The sequence below is a fragment of the Homo sapiens genome, chromosome 2, assembly GCF_000001405.40.
Source record: "Homo sapiens chromosome 2, GRCh38.p14 Primary Assembly".
Lineage (NCBI taxonomy): Eukaryota > Metazoa > Chordata > Mammalia > Primates > Hominidae > Homo > Homo sapiens.
The window spans coordinates 216,143,945-216,165,055 of NC_000002.12; the positions used below are offsets into that span (position 1 = coordinate 216,143,945).

A 21,111-nucleotide genomic window follows, 5' to 3' on the forward strand; every position below is an offset into this window, starting at 1 on the left:
ACCTTGTGATCCGCCCGCCTCGGCCTCCCCAAAGTGCTGGGATTGCAGGCGTGAGCCACTGCACCCGGCCAAGCTTACTTCTTTTATGGACCCCTCTAGAAGAATGAGAAAAGTAGAGAGAGAAAAAACCAGTTGTTAAAACAGTGGTGGGAAAACACCATGAGAATAAGAAGAAAAAGATTTTTGCAAGTGGGTGACTTAGGGAAGGCTTTGCTGAGGAATTAGCATTTGGACAGAGTTCTAAAAGAACAAAGGCGGTGCATGTGGTAAGGAGGGCATGCCATGCAAAATAAATAACATGGAAAAGCATGAAAATATGAAGAGCCAGGATGTGGATCCCTTTGGCTGCAGAATAAGTTCTGTATGGGGAAATGATGGAAAACGTGACAGAGAAGGTAAGTAGTAAGTAGGTTGTGAATACCTTGTATGCCATACTCAGTCATTTGGATTTTACAGCAGTGGGTAATTAAAGAATTTTCAGTGGCCCACTTGAAGGCTTAAGAGTTAAAGCAGTGATGGAGAGAGTGGAGACGAGAATCAATTCTTAAGGCATTTAGAAGGTATAGATAGAACTTGAGTGATTGATGGAAAATAAAGAGGACTTGAAGATAACAGGATCCTAGCTTGGGTGACTGAAAAGATGATGTCACCATTCAATATGATAAGGAATACAGAATGAGCAGGTGGAAAAGATAATTCATTTATTTTCACAAGTGTTAAATTTGAGAAAATCTATTGGATATCCTGGTACAGACACTCATTGGGAAGTTACAAACAGGGTTGCAGAGCCTAGAAGACAAGTCAGGTCTAAACACAGATTTGAGAGTCCTCCTCATTGAGGCAGAAAGACAAGTGAGTAAGATTGTCTGGGAGAGCACACTGGGTGAGTAGGAGAGAGAACAAAGTAGAGAACTGCAACACGTGAGTGAACAATTAGACATATAAAAAAGGGTTGTTACAAAACCAAACCAAATGCTCCTACCTCCATACCCCAATAAAAATCAGCGAGGTAGAAAACTAGGAGAAATGCATCTTGGAAGGCACAGGAAGAGACGAGTTGGAAAGGAAGGAATCGCAAGTCAGATGCACAATGGGGAGTAGAGGTGAGCTTAGCAAAGGGTCTTTAGGAATTTGTAGTCCAGTTTGAGGACTTTGGGGACACAGAATCAGTTGAGTAATGGTGTGCAAGCCAGGTTACAATGCCTAGATGAGAAAGACTTTCTGATGAAGGGAGAGAGAAAGAGAGGACACAGTAATCTATAGGAGGTTGTGGGATCCAGGAAGGCCACTTTTTTCTTTTTGAAATACCTACAGTTAAGGGTAAATGAGCTTGGAGAAGGAGAGAGAGATTAATAATTAATTTGTTATCAAGAGGTTAATTTAATTCTAGTTTTGGAAAGAAATGCTGAAAATATATCTTGTCAAGTATACAGTTAAAACCACTTTTTAAATAATTGATACAATGGTGCTAAAATCAGTATATTGGTAACTTTTGAGCTATTGTGGTCTGTAGGTTTTTCCTCTAATCTTTTTCAAATTGTAAAAATCACATCCAGTAACAGTTGCTTAAAAGAGAAATAAATAGGTGATCTCAGCTTCCCATCTACTCAGAAATGTCACTTTCTCATAATCCCATTTTTTTAGTGCATTGGGAATTTTTACCTGAATGAATTTTGTAAGTATCTCGCTTAGCTTAATTTGCCTAAAATGTGACCTTTCAGAAAATATGAGAGGGAGGTTGGTACCTCAGAACATCTCTTGTAGATCCTTTATTATTGACTTAACGGATGATGACACTGAAAAGATTGCCTGGGGTTTATGCTGAAAATCTGGAATGTTTTACAGTAGGAAGGTTGGGTAGGATACTTGTCCATTGGTTGTTCTAGCCCTTTTCCAAGAAATGTCAATTGGATATCACAGATAGAATCTTCAGGAGTTTATGAGAGGTAGTCTGCTATGTTGGGTGTTTGATTACTGCTTTACATCTTTAGGACTTTCTAAGCTGTTCAGGTATTTTAATGAACCAAGGGAGAGCACTGTGAATAAAGGATTATGCATAATAAGAAGGTGGTGAGGGGGTAGATTCACAGAGTTTGGGATCTTTTGGATTTGCTTAAACAGTTTGGGGATTACCTTGCTTTACATTGAATAGGCCTGATGTTACTGATGCTCAAGGGAAAGTCAAGTAATTAGGAAAGAAGAAAGCAGGCATCAAACTCAGACAAACAAATGAATATACTATGGAGAAGGAATAGTTGTGGTTGGTGGTTGAAATGGGGAAGGGAGCAGGGAGAAGCGCATGGAATTTCTGGAGGAAATTGGTACTTAATTCCTACTTCAGGGTTTTCGAAACTTACAGGACATTGACTCTTGGATGATACTATTAAACCTAAGCATCTTTTATTTTTTTAGAATAGAAACTTTCAGCTTACATTTTCTTCAGTGTAGGAAAGGAGTCCAGGGGACCAGGGGATAGTATAAATCACATGCTTTGTGATAGGAGCAGTATTTTGAAATTACAGGAGCTCTTCAGCTCCCTGGTGTTTTGTTTGTTTTTTTTAGAATTACCAATTTATAAGTTGTTTAAAAGTGGGAATAGTTATACCTTAATTTTGGAATTAATCTTCATCGAAGGAAGGAAAACATCAATAAACTGATAGTTTCATTTCTTTCTTTGTTTTTTAATGACATCTAATCTTACTGCTTTCTATACTCCTTTTAGAGCATTTCCTTTTCTGGGCAGGCCAAGGCCTGGCCCAGTAGACTTGAGGCAGGATAGGTGGTTGAATGAGGTGGCATGCTGTGTAGAACTTCACTCACATGGGCAGTGGAGAATTTGCCCTGGCCTTGATCTTGGCGCCCCTCCCCCTTGGTGTTGCTTCTTGACACCGCTGTCAACAACTAGAGCCCTGGAAAAGAGCACTTTATTCCTTCAGCTGTTATCGGCCAGGTGCTTATTATGTGCCAGGTAGTATTTTTGGTGCTTAGAATTCATTCAGCAGTAAAGAAGAGAAGAGCCCTACTTGTAAGGAGGAGGGTTAGATAATAAACAAGTAAACTAAAAAATTGATAATTTTAGATAATGATGGAGCCTATAAAAAATATAAAATAAGGGAAGTGACAGAAAATGACTGGGGTGGTAGAATGGGGTGGAGGGGCTACTTCATATAGAGTGTCAGGGAAGGCCTCTCTGCGGAGATAGTATTTCAGCAAAGACTAAAATGATTTTTAAAAAAAGGGCAAGGGTGGAGCTGACTCTTGAGGTTTAGGGAAAGACAGAGGAGGCAGAGGTAGTGTTAAGCCCAGGCCCCAAAGTTAGGATGAGCTTGGTGTATGAGCGAAGCAGGAGCCCAGCCTATTGGGGTTGTGAGTGAGGAGAACAAGTGGCTGGTGATGCGATCGAGGAGGCAAGCAGGGCTGCATCATAGGACCCTAGGGTATGGTGAGCAGTTCATTCTCGGACCACTTCCAGTCAGACAGTGGAAAGAGAAGCTGGGAAACCAGTTAGAAGGTGACTGGTAGGCCAGGGATGAGGTGATAGGGCTTGGGCAAGAATGGTAGCAGTGGGGAGAGAGAAAGGTGGATGGACTTGTGCTGAAAAGTGCAAACTCAGCACTCAGGGACAACTCAGTATTCTCATCTCTTTTGCAGACCTCTCTCTGGGACTCACTGAGCATGGGCAGCTTCCCTGTAGCCACCTGTTTCATCCACCACATGGCATTCTCTGAGATTAAGTGAGGGAGAAAGCACAGCATGATTAAGAGAGATAAAAGGATTATAACAAGAAAGTTATAATCCCAGATTATCAGGTCTTAGAATCAGGTATTTTAGGGAATCTTGTATATTCCCCAAGTAGTAAAAACAACAGCTTTGATTTATAAGGTGAGGCTCCTTTCCAGGAGGTCCAGAGCAGAAGATACTGTTGCTAGGCTTGGATCTATTTTTACAATTGGTTTTAGGTATTGACCAATATCCTGCCAACAAAGGTGGTTCTAGGTGAATCCTCTTGATTGTTTTTTACATGTGGTATGAATCACTTAGCCCTCCCACACTAAAGATGGAGGATCCCTGATCAGAAAATATAAAGAAGCCATATATGTCTCCATCTGTGTTTTAAAATCCTTACTTTTTCCAACAGTGTCTGCTGCACAGAGCTTTACATCCCCGGGAGCCTCTACCCCCAATTCAGCAGCATATTTGGAATATGCTGAATCCTCCCGCTGAGGTGACAACAAAAAGTCAGATTCCTCTCTCTAAAATAAAGACCCTTTTTCCTCTGATTGAAGCCAAGAAAAAGGATCAAGTGACTGCTCAGGAAATTTTCCAAGACAAGTAAGTACTTGGTATAGTTGCATTTAACATTGGGGTACATAAGAGTTGTGGTCATTTTAGAGTGGCTCTGGAAGTGTCACATAGGGGTCTATGGAATTTAAAAGGTGAGAGGAAGAAGCCTTTTGCTATTTGGCCCTTATATTGAAATATTGATTTCTTATATCTGTCTGCTGTGATCATATTTTATCCTTGCTGTTCACTTTGGATTTAGAGCTACCTTCTGGGCTGATGACTTTTTGATCAGCATCAGATTCTTGGTGAATTATATATAATGTATAATTCAGATAAGTTTCTGAATATCTAAGGCTAAATGTCACCCTTTTTAAAGTAAAGTACTGAGAATGAGTGTGTTGAAGATCATAGGTTTTTTGGGTTGGGAGGAGATTAGATGTTGGGGATGTCAATGAGATTTTTGGAGGAAAAGTGGGAACAAGAGTGAAAAACTATCAATTCTTCAGCCGTTCTATTAGTGTATCAGTGATGTATTTGGTTGTGCTATTGGGGAGGTGTTTGTAGTTTTAAGTATTGCAAAATGCTTTTCATATACACTTAAATCAAGCTTACAACTGGCTATTAAGTTTTTTCCCTCTTCTGTTCACAATCTGTGTCAGCTTCCATTCAAAACAAAACAAAAATAAAACAAGAAGAAATTGTTGTTGCTTATCCAGAATTATTTGAGTATGTAAAATTGATTTTTACCAGGTTTAGGTCAACCAGTTATTGGTGACTTTTTTTTCTCAAGCTGGAATAATCTATACATTTCTTTTGGCTGTATTTTGAAATCTGATTTTAAACCATGAATCTTTTCCCCTTTTTTATTTGATTTTTCTCTCCACAACTATCTTTATTGACAAAGCTTCTTATTTATAAATACCCCAGTGGAGAAGTATTGAGTAATTTCCGGAAGTCTTCACAGGTTTCTATAAATCATTGATTTAGAGAATTACTGTCTAAATTGAATAGAAAGTTGTGCACATTCTGTGACTTTCTAAAGGTTAACATCCAAGCTTTGTCAGAATTGAAAAAAAAAATCATGTACTTGGTTCCGCCGCACCAACTGCCCGCCCCCCATAAGACCATCTCTCAAGGAAATTGATAGATTGTTTCTTGATAGATTTTATGATGTGCATTTCTTACACATCCTGGAGAGGTTTTCATTTCTGTTTAGTCTATCGTTCTACACAAGAAGACTGTCCCTAAAAATTCACTTTCCCCCTGCTATCCTTATCTACCTTCTGGATTTGTATTTTAAAACAGTTCAATAAAAGTCTGCAGCCTTTTCTTTCTATGACACCTTGCTGAAGTCTCACTGCAATCACAGGGCTATTCTCTCTCTGTGTGTTAAATCTCCAGTCCGTGATCTTGATTACCTTCTGGTGTTGTGGGAAAGAAATGGGCCATTTTCTGCTCTTCCCTTTGATTAAAATGTAAATTAGCTAGTTAAAAAAGCACACCACCCAGACCCAGAAGGATGCAGTTCTGTCGTTTGATCCCTGCTATGATCACACCTTTGGCTCTGGTCCTGCTGGGCACTCTTCTGGAAGCTTGGGTGTGCTGAGCTTCTTGTTCTTTGCTCCCATAATGGCTCGCAGCATAGCTAAGTTAATCTTGCAGGGGCCTGAGAAGTATCTTACTCACACACGCTTGCTCACGCTCCTATTCTCTCTCTCTTCTGAGAAAGCTTAGTTTTTAAGAATTGTGGAAATGATTCATTTAGCAAATATTGAGTACCACCTGTATTCAAGAAGAATGGTTCAGTCCTTTCTACAAGGTTCTAAAACCCCTCAATTTTGATGATAAAGCTCCAGTCAGTTCTAGAGGTAGTTTTTCCAAGGAAAGAAAAAATTGCCAACAATTCGCAATGTTTTTGTATATATTCATCATCTCTGGATCCAGGGTACATATTTCTAGTGGAGGGGAGAGGGGCTAAGATCAGGAGTGGACAAATGTCTGTTCAGGAAGTTTAATCATCTTAAGAGCTGGGAATCATTCCAGTTTTTTCACTTGATATGATTTTGGTGAAATAATTTTACCTTTATGAGATTTTCTTCACCTAAAGAAAAATCTCAAGAGATACTATAACAATGAACAAAGATATTAAAGCACTTTGAGCAACTGACATCCTTCACTTAACGACAGGGATACATTCTGAGAACCGTGTCATTAGGCAATTTCGTTGTGCGAATGTCACAGAGTGTACTTACACGAGCCCACATGGTAGAATCTACTACACATCTAGGCTATGTGGTATGGCCTTTTGTCCTCAAGGTACAAACCCGTGCAGTGTGTTACTATACTGAATACTGTAGGCATTTGTAACAAAGAGGTATTTGCATATATAAACGTATCTAATGATAGATGCCTAGGGAGGCTGAGGTGGGCAGATAACCGAGGTCAGGAGTTCGAGACAGTCTGGCCAACATTTTTAGTAGAGAATCCCCATCTCTACTAAAAATACAAAAATGAACTGGGCGTGGTGGTGTGTGCCTATAGTCCCAGCTACTTGTGAGGCTGAGACAGGAGAATCTCTTGAACCTGGGAGGCAGAGGTTGCAGTGAGCTGAGATCATGCCACTGCACTCCAGCCTGGGCAACAGAGCGAGACTCCATCTTAATTAAAAAAGAAAAATAAAAGAAAACGTAATGCTTTGCGCTATGATGTCATGACAGCCCTGATGTCACAAGGCGATAAGAATTTTTCAGTTTCATTATAATCTTATGAGACCACCATTGTATATGTGGCTCATCATTGACCAAAACGTCATTCCGTGGCCCAGGAATGTATTTGGAGGGAAGGCAATAGTCAAAACCTAAAGCAATAATAGTATCATTATCTATAAAAACATTGAACCTTTGAGAAGATCTGATATTTGTCTTGGACTTGTTGAATACCTAGTGTTAGAAGTGATTTCATTTCAAGAGGATAAGAGCACCATTTGACACTGTAGACCCAAAATATACTAAATATTACCCTCATCATATAAAAGCATTGCTTCCATTTATGTTGCTGTACACCCTTGAAATGAAAATGTCATCTCTTGGACGGGGAACTTGCATGAGAATTCGGACATCTCAGGTCTAATCCTGCTTGTGCAGCTGATGTATACGTGATCTTGATTTCTGTTTATGCAGGTGGTCTAAAGCTTTCTGCTCTTTTCAGGTCCACGAAGACTCCTTCTCACTTACTCTCAGCAGACATCCTCACTTGGTTAATGGTTAAGACTTCAGACTCCAGAGTCAGCCAATATGAGTCAGACCCCTTGCTCTGCAGTGTGGCCTTAGGCATAGGTTACATATCCTCTCAAAGCCTCAGTTTCCTCATGGGTAAAATAGGGATAATAGGAATATCTGTCTTATAGAGTTGTCATGGGGGTTAATGCGAGCAGTGTATGCTGTTCACTCTTGTATCCCTAGGACCTGGCAAAGTGCCTAGCAAATAGTAAGAACACAGTGTTTGGAGTAAATGATTTTAAAAATCCTAGTAATATGCCTGGCATGTTAGTAGTGACAATGACAGTAGAGGCCAATAGGTGGTGTATTAGCATCACTCATGCTGCTATAAAGAAATACCCAAGACTGGGTAATTTCTAAAGGAAAGAGGTTTGATTGACTCACAGTTCCACATGGCTGGGGAGGCCTTGGGAAACTTACAATCATGGCAGAAGGCGAGGGAGAAGCAAAGGTGCATCTTATGTGGCAGCAGGCAAGATCGAGTGTATATCAGCACAGAAGAAACTACCTTATATAAAACCATCAGATCTCATGAGAATTCACTCACTATCACAAGATTAGCATGAGGGAACCGCCCCCATAATCCATTCACTTCCCACCCGCTCTCTCCCTAAACACCTGGGGATTACAATTCAAAATGAGATTTGGGGCTCGGCTCAGTGGCTCATGCCTGTAATCCCAGCACTTTGGGAGGCCAAGGCAGGTGGATTACTTGAGGTCAGGAGTTCCAGACCAGCCTGGCCAACATGGTGAAACCCTGTCTCCACACAAAAAAAATACAAAAATTGGTTGGCTGTGGTGGCACAAGCCTGTAATCCAGCCACTCGGGAGGCTGAGGCACGAAAATTGCTTGAACCTAGGAGGCGGAGGTTTGCAGTGGGCTGAGATCACACCATTACACTCCAGCCTAGGCAACAGAGTGAGACTGTCTTAAAAAAAAAAGAGAGAAAAAAATTTGGGTGGGAACACAAAGCGTAACCGTATCAGGTGAGAACTCCGCAGTTTTGTGGCCCATCTTATCTCAAAACATACCTGTTTTTGCATGTACCTCCCTTCTTTTCCTGTCTCAGTGAAATAGGGTATTTATTTCATCCTGCCTAAAGTGAATTCCTTTACCTGTGCCCTGGATCCTTTTTTTTCTTGTTTTTTTTTTTTTAATTTTAGTTTTTGAGACAGGGTGTCTCTCTGTCACCCAGGCTGGAGTGCAGTGGCAGGGTCACAGCTCACTGCAGCCTAGACCTCCTGGGCTCAAGTGATCTCCCAACTTGAGGATCCTCAGTAGCCTCCTGAGTAACTCACGCCGGCTAAGTTTTTTATATTTTGTCGAGATAGAGTCTTACTTTGTTCCCTAGGATGGATTCCTTTTTCTGCTTCATCTGGTACCTTAGGCCACTAATAATTTCTTCTCTCTTTCTGTATTTTTAGCTTCTCCCTCGCTACCACTAACTCCTTTCTTCTCTCATGTTAAATTTCTTTCATTTAACACAAAATAGTCCCCCTAGCTTCTTCCCTCTAATTACTACCTGTTACTAATTACTAATCTAATTATTATCTTTCCTTCCAGAAGCCAGGCTCTTGGAAGAATAGTCTATTCTGCAACCTTTCTCAGCTCTCATTCTCACCAGCTTTTGCCCCCACCACATCCTTGAAACTCATCTTTCAAAAGACACTAACTGCTAAATTCACTTCGGCTTTGTGGTTCTTTGCTTTCTTGACCTCTTTGAAGCACTTGACACTGTCAGTTATTCCTGCTTTCTTGAGACTCATGTATCTGTCTTAACTTCAGCTTCTCCAAATTTTTCTTTTTCAATCTTTGGCAGCTCCCTCTCAGATTCCTGTGGGGGCTGCTTTTGTGTGTTTTTGTGTTGATATTCTGTAGAATTTGTCCTCAGAAACAGCAAACATTTATTGAACCTTATGCTGAAGATAATGGGAAGCCATTAAAGCAAGGGTTTTTAATCAGGGTTCCAAAGATTGATATCAAGGAATCTGTGAACTACCTGAAATTACATTCAGACTTCAAAACTTAATATGTTAAGTGCTTTACATGATGCTAAGTGCTTTACACACATTATCTGTTTGGACCCACGTTGCCATCCTATGAAGTAGATTCTTCTGTTGACCCCCAACTTAAAGCTCAGGAGACTCAGGATTAGAGAAGATGAGAAACTTGCCCAAGATTGTAGTTGGTAGGTGTTGGAGTAAGGATTTAAGTGTAGGCAGTCTGACTCCAGAGCTTGTACTTCAAACTGTAATGCCACTTTGCCTTAGCAATGCATGTCCCAAGACCTCTTTTTTATTTCAGAGCCTCAAAAACTACTAAATACCTATCTTCAGCTCGGATTTCTATCCCATCAACTAAATAGCTTAGGTGCCTGTAGGCCCCTCCAGTTCAGTAAGCCAGAAATGGCTTTGTTATCTGCTTTCTTCTTCCTGCTCCTTTCCAACCCCTCTTCATGCTATTATTCTCTATTTCAGTGAATGACACCTAATTTCTTGGGAGTCTTCCTTTTCTTTTACATTCTATATGTAATTGGTTTACCAAGTTGTATTATATTTACCTCAAATCTAACGCTTTCACTTAAGGTTAGTCTGGTGGCTAATGGCATTGATTTTGGGGTCGAATTTGGAGCTAAACTCAAGCATTTCCCCTTAAAAGCAGTTGAAATTGGCAAGTTGCTCAGTGTCAAGTGGCAATAACAAATGCCTGCCTTCCAGGAGGTTGGTTAGGAGAATGGGTGAGTACAGGATTAGTTCTTTCCCTTTACTGTGTGCTTTAAACAAGGGATCAAACTTTCTTCAGGCTTAGTTTGCTCATCTGTAAAAGGATGCTGATAATAGCTAACTCATAGGGTTGTTGCAAAATTTAACTGAGATAATTTAAATGTGTGTAACATAGTGACTAGCACATGGTAAGCATTAAAAAGAAACGTAAGCTCTTAATAGCATCGCCCACTGCCACTGCTTTTATGTAGGCCTTCTCATTTTAGCCTGCCTCACTGACATAAGCTCTTCACTAATTTCCCTAATTTGTCTTACCCCTTTCCAATTCATGCTGCTACCTGAGTGAGTTTAAAAAACAAACCTGATCCCATCACTGTCTTGCTTAAAATTCTTAAAAGTAGTGATTCTTAATCATGTGTGAAAGACAGAGAGTGCAGTGAACTCACTTGATACAAAATCTATGAACTGTCTTCCCAGAAAAATGCTTTAACATACTAAGTTTTGAAGTTTGGATATAATTTCTGGTAGTTCACAGATTCCTTGATGTCATCTTTGGACCCCCAATTAAAAAACGCTTGCTCTAATGGCCTCCCATTATCCCCAGCATAAGGTCAAACTCTTTTACACAGATAAGAGAATCCAGATAAGCAGAAAGAAAAGAGGCATCTATTCATAATCCAACTATCTAGAGAAAACCATTTTCTTTTTTTAAAGTAAATAAAAATGAACTTATTAAAAAAAACCATTTATCATTTCACAACACATCAATAACCAAGTAGAAAATAAAAAAATATATAAAAGCCTGGGCAACATAGTGAGACCTCATCTCTACAAAAAATATAAAAATTAGCTAGGCATGATGGCACACACCTGTAGTCCCAGCTACTCTGGAGGCTGAGGCAGGAGGATCATTTGAGCCCAGGGTTCAAGGTGGCAGTGAGCCATTATTACACCTGTGAATAGCCACTGCACTCCAGCTTGGGCAACATAGTGAGACTCCCATCTCAAAAAAAAAAAAAAAAAAAGACAAGGAACTAATAATTAGGATATACAAGGACCTCTTGGCAAATCAAAAAATAATTTTTCAATTTTTCCATGGAAAAATGGTCAAAGATTATAAAAAAGCAAATCACAGGAGCAGAAACTCAGCTGGCTTACAAGTGTATGAAGAGATCTTCAATCTCAATTAGTAATCAGAAATGTAAATCAAAGCAAAAAAAAACATTGGCAAATATTTTTAAACATTAGATGATACCAGTTGTTGGTGAGAATATGGGAGAAACAGGAACTTCTGTGTACTGCTAAGGGGGAATGTAAACTGTTACAGTAGGACATTAGAAGCAACCAGTGTACTCGTCACTAGGGGAAAATGGTCTGTAAACATGGTAGATCCATATCATGGATTATGCTGCAAGTAACAGCCACATGGACAGATCTCTAAGGTCACCACTGAAGGAAAATTAAGAAAAAGAATAAGATCTATAATAGCCTATATCATCTTGTACTTAAAAAGCACATACATAAAGCAGTACTGTGTAACTTAATAAAAATATATACACATCTAAGATGTATCTGATATATCGGTGGGTACAAGAGGGTAAGTGGGGTGCAGAGGGAGTGGGAAAATAACTATGAAGGGGAAAGGTACTAAAATACAACGAGAAGGGCCTGGCACAGCCCATATTTGATAATGTGCTAAGAAGTCATTAGAAATTTTGAATGACTGAATTCCCTATACCTGAGGTCCCCCTTTAAAAAGCTCACCCTTCTTATAGACGAAGAAGCGAAGACACTAAGTTACAATGATATAAATTAAGCTACCAATGACAAAGTGCTCAGTCAACCTTCTGCCTTGTGTTGATAACACTAATCTGCCCTAGTTATATCTAAAGAAAAATATACTTTCATACAGATTTCACAGCTTTTCAACATCCATATATCTGGAAAGATAAGAACATTTGTATATCCTTCCATATGAGTCCTTGTGATTCGTTGAGGCCATAGGTTAAGTTTCCTTTCAGTCATTCCAAGGAGAATCAGCATGACCAAGCAAAGCAGGTTCCAAAGGCAGGAAGCAGAAGCAATATGATGCTGTGGAGGTACCTTTCTGAAACAGTCTCTTCTGCTGTTGTGGGGTCTTTGGGCAACCCTTCAATTTAAGTGCTTGGCAACAAGTCTGCTGAGATAGGCTGACCTTGTAGCTTTTGTAGTCTCTATCGTACAGCACTGGTCAGATCTACATAAGCCTCATCGATGCTGACGCATTCAATCACAGCAAAACAAGACTTCCTCCATCACTTCAACACTGGCTTCCCGGTACTTGGTGAGGTTAGCTTTCCCATGGTACTCACGAACTTGTGCCAGTAGAAGACCTGGACTTAACTTCTTTGCATCATCTGCCTACATATAGTGACCCCAAATGCAAGAGCTTCATAACTCACTGCAATTATTCTACCACCTTCCATGATTTGTACTACACAGCTGCACAAGATTTATTCCTCAAATGAGGATTTTGCCGCTGCTCCATTGGAACAAAGTCTATGTCCATGAGAGTAACCACACAATCCTGTCCAGTAGCCATTTTTCAAGGTAACAGACACCTGGCCAGACTGCCAGCAGTGGGTGCCGCAAATGCTGGGCTCGGTGCCCACTGGAAGGAAAATGGAAGAAGGGCTTTTGAATATCTTTTCGCCTTTCTGGGGAGAGTTTCGAGAGATTTATTCCCCGTGATGACAGAGGAACAGAGAAGGGGTCGTGAAGGATCCTGCCCAGGCGACCGTCCCCACAGTTCAGCAGGGATCAGCCGAGAGCAGTGTGCCCAGCAACAAAGCCACCAGACTGAGGACAGACAGCACGCACGCTGCCTAGAGAAAACCATTTTCTTTCCTCACGTTTTTTAATGCTCCTAATTAATGTGTTTTCTAGCTCCTTCTCTCACTACGTCCCAGCTTTTGCACCTTATGCTTTAACCCAATACAACTATTTTCTTTTTTTTTTGTTTTTTTTTTGTTGTTGTTTTTTGAGACGGAGTGTCACTCTGTCACCCAGGCTGGAGTGCAGTGGCGCCATTGTGGCTCACTGCAAGCTCTGCCTCCCGGGTTCACGCCATTCTCCTGCCTCAGCCTTTCGAGTAGCTGGGACTACAGGTGCCCGCCACCATGCCCGGCTAATGTTTTGTACTTTTAATAGAGGTGGGGTTTCACCGTGTTAGCCAGGATGATCTCGATCTCCTGACCTCGTGATCCGCCTGCCTCAGCCTCCCGAAGTGCTGGGATTACAGGCATGAGCCACCACGCCCGGCCAATACAACTATTTTCTATCCTCTGAAAGAGATAGGCCTATCACAGTATTTTGTTAATTGTCTATATGTATACTTCAATTTTTATTTGGCTGAAGGTGTTGATGGTATATTAATTTTTGTATATTGAGAGTTTAGAGTCTAGCTTAGTGGCTGATATATAGTACATATTCAGTAAATATTAGGCTAAATAAGTGAATTGCAAAATTCATACATGTTTGTGAAAGAAAATAAGAAAGGAGAAAGAACAAATTACCCATGGTCTCATCATCCAGATGCACCAACTGCTGACATTTATATGTCTACTGTGATCTTGTGTGTATAAATTTCTACTTTCTAGAGCTTAGCGCCTTCATAGATAATTTAGGGAAGAGAGTCATTACCCTTTCCCACTTCACATAGAGATTATGAATTTAGTGTATGCAAAATTCCTAATAATGCTGTTAAATGATTTGGCCTGGAGAATATTAACCATACTAAATTTTACTGTGTTGTGCATATGACTGGGGCTACTTTTACTTGCCTGGTACGGGAAAATTGTGTATGTGTCTGTTTACCCTTCTTTCCCTAGAACCTCATTTTGGAGGGTTGAAGAAATTCTTCATGTGATTCAACTTCATATTCCCCCACAACTTAGCTTTTTATGTGTAATCCTTCTTAATACTACTATATAAGCTAATCTGTATTTGTGGAAGAGAATAGTTGATATACTGATGGTAGTTTTCATCATAGTGCTTTCCTAAGGAGCAGACTGAAGCTCAGAGAGGTTTGTAGCTTACTAGACTCTAAACTCTAGATAGATAAAAATTAGTACACAGTGAACGCCATCAAGAAGGTGTAAGATTTCAGGGCTAGTCAGTGGCAAAATCGAGACTAGAATCCAGGTCTTTTGACTCCAACTCTTCAGTAGTTTAATGTTGTTGGCTTGTCTCTTGGGAAGAACTGGCAAAGGTTAATTGAAATGACTGGCTCTGACCTTTTTTTTTAAAACAGACTCAACTTCTAATGGAATTTCATTCTACCTTGGATTTCTCCTTTTTTTCTTTCATTTTTCCACGAAGGCTGTGTGTTTATTTTTTATTCTACTTGCAAGAAAAGAGTTCTGGGTGACTTACCCCTTGTAATGTTTCCTGGTTCCCACCCTTCTGTCTTCTACTTTGCTCTTGTCTACTTCTCAAAGGGAAAACATTTAGTGGTGAATGGGAAAGATGCCAAATAGTGAAAATTTTAATTCATGGATGTATGGCTGTGATGATTACTTTAGTTCTTTTACCTACCTCTAAGAGGAAATTCATTATTGAAATTGAGGAAGCCCATATATGTTTTATTTTCTCTTGGCTTCATTTTATTTTTAAAATTTATTTTTGCTTCATTTTTAAAATAACTTCATTTTCAAGCCTCATTGTCTGAAGGTTGAGGCTTTGAGCAAAAAAACAACACATTTAGAAATTCTAGTCCTGAAAATTGCTGAGAAATTTTAACTGTTCTCATAATAAAATAAGTAAATGAAATAATGCATATGATAATTAGCTTAATTTAGCTATTTCACAATAAATGCATATTTTAAAACATTTTGTACATGATAATATATACAATTTTTATGTTAAAATAAATGAATTTTTAAAATTTCTAGATCTTGGTTACTAATTCTCTTATCATTTAGCCATTTCTGATGGCTGCTTTTGCCCTAGATTGCATTTCTCTCTGGGAGAAAAAAATCTTAATTTCTTTATGTTCAGCAGCTTAAGGGAGATTACAGGCAGAGTCTTTGGATTTGATTTTCTTCTCTTTTGCAATTAACTTGACCTCCTCTTGACTTTAAGACAGGCTGTTAAAGCCAGCATGTTGCTTGAGGCAAGATGTTTGATATACTTTTCCTTAGCACACAGATGCTACTGGACTGTTAGCATATTGCACAAAACAGAATTAGGTTTATAAAAGAACAAATTAAAAAGTTTTCGGGGAAGTTTTTTTTTTATAGTTTACGACTTCTTTAAGAGGGAAAGCTCTTGCATAGTTAATTAAGGATTGTCTAGTAAGTTTTGACAGTTGTAAACAGAGGCTTATAAAGCTCTAACATACATGATAGAGAAAACGGGTTGTTAGACACAAAGGTCTTCTGTGTACATGGAAAGCTAATAGCTGTCAATTCTGAGACAGGAACTAGAAAATAATATCTGAAGAGTAAATGGATTTCTTACTTAAATGTTAAATTTCCATTATCTGTGCTTGCAGTTTCATCTTTTCCAAGGACCTTATGATGTGATTGCTTAATTCTGATTCTCATACTGCTGTGAAACAAAGCCAGGGCTGCCTCAAGTTAGGCCCTTAGGAGCCCGGTGGCTAGGAAAGGGAGGCAGCTTGTTTGTAGAAGGACTACATGTAGCTATTGTTTTTCTTTTCTTTTTCTTCTTCATTATTTTTCTTTTCTTCTTCTTCTTTTTTCTTTTTTTTTTTTGGTGCTTGGAAAATAAGTTTCACAATAGCAATCTGGTTTTGTATTGTTTGTTCTAAGAGAAATTTTTTTTTTCTTTTCTAGCCATGAAGATGGACCTACAGCTAAAAAATTAAAGACTGAGCAAGGGGGAGCCCACTTCAGCGTCTCCAGTCTGGCTGAAGGCAGTGTCACCTCTGTAAGCTAAGCTTTTCAAGTGCGCTTCCCCCTTTGCAGGAAGGTTGGGGCTTGAGGGAGAGTGCATCAATTTTTGTTAGTCCGTTCTTACCACTTTCAAGTTAAGATCATGATCACTTTCTCTGGTCCTTGCTCTATAGAAGCCAAAAAGACCCATTCCATACTTCTTTAAGTAATTATTATCATGAATTGCCTACAGAATTATCTATATGATATAAGGTATATAGAGCTCTTTATAGAACGTGGAACATCTCAGTGTTGAGATTTTGCTGTTGGCATTATTTTGCAGCTTTTCAACTAGTCAAAATGATAGGATAAGTGGGGGTTAGTGATACGAGCCTTAATCTTCAAGTACACACAATTTAAGTTAGTATAACTTTCCTATTTTCTAACATGCAACTTTAGAACAGGATTCACAAGTTTAGGATTTCCCCAAGAATGTATCCTTTGATACATGAGATTTTTATTGAATGAGAAATTTTTTGGAACTTGAAAATACTACCTTAATTAATTAATTAATTAATTAATTAATTTTTATATCTTGGTCAGCCAGGAGGAAGAATATTTTATTTAATTTTAGAGATAGGTTGTCACTGTCACCCACGCCGGAGTACAGTAGTGTGATTTTAGCTCACTGCAGCCTTGAAATCCTGAGCTCAAGTGGTCCTCCTGCCTCAGCCTCCTGTGTAGCTAGGACTAAGGGTACATGCCACCATACCCGGCTATTTTTCATAGAGGTGGGGTCTCAGTATGTTACTCCTGGGCTCAAGCAATCCTCCCGCTTCAGCCTCCCGAAGCACTGGGATTATAGTCATGAGTCACTGCACCCAGCCAAATAGTGCCTTGTTCTAAGCAGCATTAGTGTGAATCAACAAATCTTAAAAATTGGCCGATAACTTTTTAACACAATGTACTAGGAAGGATAGTCAGGGAATAAAGGGCATGCCTTTATTCTCACCTCAAACAGAAACTCAGAAAAATTGAATGTGTGAAAAATGATTTAGATTTCATTTAGATGTTTTATATATAATAGTAAAGGAAAAAGTCATGATCTTGTTCTGAGAGCTTTTCTGCTTCCTATATCCAAGCAAACTGGAAGCTTTAGTATATTTTGGAACCCCATTGTTTTCTTTCTTATGAGCTGAGTGGTTCTTAGGCCCTGTGAGGGTTGGGGCCAGCAGATTAAAAACATAGGTATAATCAGAAAGTTCCATATAATATGGCAGTTTCGTCTTTCAAACTTCCTCACCCAGCACTGCAGTACATCTTTGTACATAATCTGCTTTTACTTTCTGAGGACATGTTCAACCTGGGTATGCTTTGTATATTCTACCAAAACTTCAGTGCCAAAGGGTCAGCAGCAGTCCCACTAATGGGCACTTCGGTGAATCAGGCATTAAGCTGTATTTCTCATGTTATCTTAGTGGGGCAAATCTATTCGAAACCGACCCCACACTGCAGAATCCTCGGCTTTCTAATTGGTTGGGTGACAGGATATACAGGCAGTCTGTGCTACACAAAGCCTTCCAGCTGGGCTGGCTGGTGGCTTGAGTTGTAATACTTTTTTGACCCTTCTGGAAAGAAATCAGCTTTCATAAAGCAAGGTGAGTGAAAGCACAGAGGGCAGCTCTTGGACCACTGAAATCTGCCGGCCTTTCACAGAGCCCTAGAAATGAAAATGAATAGAAAAGCCCTTCTCTTTGTCTTTGGTTTTATTTTATAAGAGCACACTTATTACATTAAGCCATCTTGTATTGCCTGGGGTGCTGCTAAAAAGAGAAATAACCTGTAGGTTTATCATCTGTTGGTATATTTTAGGTTGGAAGTGTGAATCCTGCTGAAAACTTCCGTGTTCTAGTGAAACAGAAGAAGGCCAGCTTTGAGGAAGGTGAGTGGTTGACTTTGCATTTAGGAGAAGCTGTTTAGTTAAGCTAACTAATTTAAAGTCTAGATTAAGAACTGTAGCCTTTTGTTGTAACACTTTAGCATTTTTCTTTACTGGCGGATCTTTGTGGTTTTCCCTTGTTAGGGAGCTCACTGAGGCAACATTATGAGCACATGAAAGTGAACTCAGCACAGATTTTCTCAAAAGGAACTAATTTGTAGGTCTCCCTACAGAAAAACTTTGGGCCAACACCTTGGCGCTTATAGCTCCACTTCATTGAAGTTTTTTAGGATTTTGTCGTGAGCTATAAATAAAACACTTTTATGTCACATCTTCCTATTTTATTTTCTTCCTTTTTTTTCTTTTTTTTTTTGAGATGGAGTTTCTCTCTTGTTGCCCAGGCTGGAGTGCAATGGCATGATTTCAGCACACCACAACCTCTGCCTCCCGAGTTGAAGCGATTCTCCTACCTCAGCCTCCCGAGTAGCTGGGATTACAGGCGTGCACCACCATGCCCAGCTAATTTTGTTTAGACGGGGTTTCTCCATGTTGGTCAGGCTGGTCTTGAACTCCTGACCTCAGGTGATCTGCCAGCCTCAGCCTCCCAAAGTGCTGGGATAACAGGTGTGAGCCATCGTGCCCGGCCACATCTTCCTATTTTCAGAGACACATAATTCTTGTTCCAGTCCTAAGAGTTTGTGGCCCATTTATAGTAGACCTAGAAAGACCTTGATGCTGCCCCTAAATTTAATCCTTCTCAAAATGGCTGCATGGTCACTTTTCCTTATCAGGTAGTACCTAGAATCTCATTTAGGCTGTGGCTAACATAAAAATAGCTTTCAGGGATGCACAGAGGGCCTGGAACTAACATTCATTCACTTGATTGCATTCAGGTTTCTGTTCATTTACCCTTTAAATGGTGGCAACTGGCAGTTGTTAATCCTGCAGGTTTATATATAAACTATTATATTCATTATTGCTGGTCCAAGTCTGGCCTGTCTGCGAGCTGACTTCTACGTATGTGAGTGTTTATGTTTGTTCATGTGTGTATAGAACTTTCTCTTCCAACATCCTGCAGGGAGCAGGGGAATCACTTTTTTTTTTTTAGTGACAGGGTCTCGCTGTGTCACCCAGGCTGGAGTGCAGTGGCAGGATCATAGCTCACTATAACGTTGGACCTCTGGGCTCAAGTGATCCTCCCACTTCGGCCTCCCAAAGCTCTGAGATTACATGTGTAAGTCACCATGCCTGGCCAAAAATTACTTTTTTTCTTTTTCTTTTTTTTGGGGGGACAGAATCTTGCTCTGTTGCCCAGGCTGGAGTGCAGTGGTGAGATCTCAGCTTACTGCAGCCTTCACCCTGGCCTCCTGAGTAGCTGGAACTACAGTTGCATACCCCCACGCCCGGCTAATTTTTGTATTTTTAGCACAGACGGGGTTTCGTTATGTTGGCCAGGCTGGTCTTGAACTCTTGACCTCAAGTGATCTGCCCACCTTGGTCTCCCAAAGTGCTGGGATTACTGTGAGCCACGGTGGCATGAGCCACCGTGCCCGGCCCAAAAATGAGAGTTAAATGCCTAGAAGCACTACTGCCTGCAGTAGGTCTAATGCATCTTACTACTTGCAGTCTAGGAATCCTGGCAAGATCCCCAGATCTACTGTGCTGTTGTCCAGAGGCAAGCATGAGCAGCTGAGCCTCAGAGAGAGCTTACAGTCTACCAGGCTTAAATCCTGTCAGCAGGAATGCCAAAGGCCAAACCATGAGAATCTCCAGAGGAAGAACAGCTTCGTTATCACAGTAATCTGCAGTCTCTTAAGTGGGGTGTATATGTTTTTGGTTTTGAGATGGAAGAAGAGCTTTTTGTCCTGCTAAAAGTTGCCATATAGGAGAAAAACTTTGAGTTTTAACACAAAACAAAACCTCATGTAAATAGAAGGAGATCTGAAGTTCTAAGTGACAGTTTTCTAGGATTGGTGAAAACAGTACTTCAGAATTTCTCTCTTTAATGTATTGGAGTGATCAAGACACTTTCACAGTATTATACCTGTTGTCTGTTCAGCTGTATATTGTTACAGGGTGCTCGGAAAGTGGCGGAGATGCTGCTGTGACAAGTCAATGAACTCTTGTCTATCAAGACTATTGTGTTTTTGAAGGAAAATTGAGACTTTCCTAGCTTTCAATTGTATGTCGTCAATTACCTCAGCCAGTCAAAGTCCAAGGTCCCCCGTTTGGAAGTGATTGGACTCTGTGGTTGGTGTAGGCATGGTCTTTTCAGGGACTGAATCTAGCTGTCATCACCATTATATGGTAGCCACTAGCGGTTTCATATTTACTATGTTCAAGGCATTGTGCTAGCACTTTTATGTTATTTTAATTACCCTGCATTAGCAGTTCTGCAAAATCTTGTGAAGAAATGAAGAAAATGTTAGAGCTTTAACAGCTTTTGCCAGAATTTTCTGAGAGGATTGCTTTACTTGGGAAAATAACTTTGATAAGTGCTTAGGGTAGAGAATGAGTCTCCATCCCCAGACTTGGTTGGCTAGTCCAGAGGCTTCGGAGGAAAGGAAGCTCCTCAGCATCATAGAAGTAGAAAAACTGGAGCTGGTTTAGGAGAGGAGGGGCTTAGAAGAAGAGGGGAGAGGCAGGGAGACAAAGTGGGTGAATTTACGCACAGTCACGGCCTTCTACAATACGTTTCAAACTCATGACCACAAATTACTCAGTGTCAGTACAACTCTGGAAATGCCAGGTTTAAGTGCTGTATTTGGGGAAACTGGCAGTTTGGTATCTGGCATTATTTCATGCAGAGCAGAGAAAGCACCTGAGCACACAGGAGGCCAGAGTCTGAAAAGACCAGGAGAGAGTCAGTTACTGAGAATCTACTCACATCTTAGGAAAATATGTCTTACCCCTGGCCATGGGATTGGGGATTCAGAGCAGTCTTGTGAAAATAGCAAGGGCAAGCGGACCCTAGATAGCATGTAAGTTAACAATTAGTATTATTATCTCC

General features: G+C 40.1%; 1 protein-coding gene and 1 pseudogene across 1 annotated transcript in view, besides 1 other annotated feature; one reads left to right on the plus strand and one right to left on the minus strand.

Moving 5' to 3' along the window:
* The window catches only part of XRCC5 (X-ray repair cross complementing 5), a 96,946-nt gene that overhangs the window by 34,597 nt on the left and 41,238 nt on the right, over positions 1-21,111 (plus strand). The window contains exons 14-16 of the mRNA NM_021141.4: positions 4,139-4,332; positions 16,124-16,217; positions 18,035-18,104. Of these exons, the coding sequence (NP_066964.1) occupies positions 4,139-4,332; positions 16,124-16,217; positions 18,035-18,104 (358 nt within the window). The remainder of the gene's footprint in view (positions 1-4,138; positions 4,333-16,123; positions 16,218-18,034; positions 18,105-21,111) is intronic.
* Positions 12,293-13,492: an enhancer, noted in NCBI's record as "BRD4-independent group 4 enhancer chr2:217020960-217022159 (GRCh37/hg19 assembly coordinates)". NCBI's record gives its function as "activates an origin of replication core promoter dependent on BRD2, P300/CBP, MED14 and CDK7 cofactors, and independent of BRD4, by STARR-seq in HCT116 cells {active_cell/tissue: HCT116}" and the evidence as "EXISTENCE:reporter gene assay evidence [ECO:0000049][PMID:35650434]".
* POLHP1 (DNA polymerase eta pseudogene 1) lies at positions 12,390-13,067 on the minus strand (annotated as a pseudogene).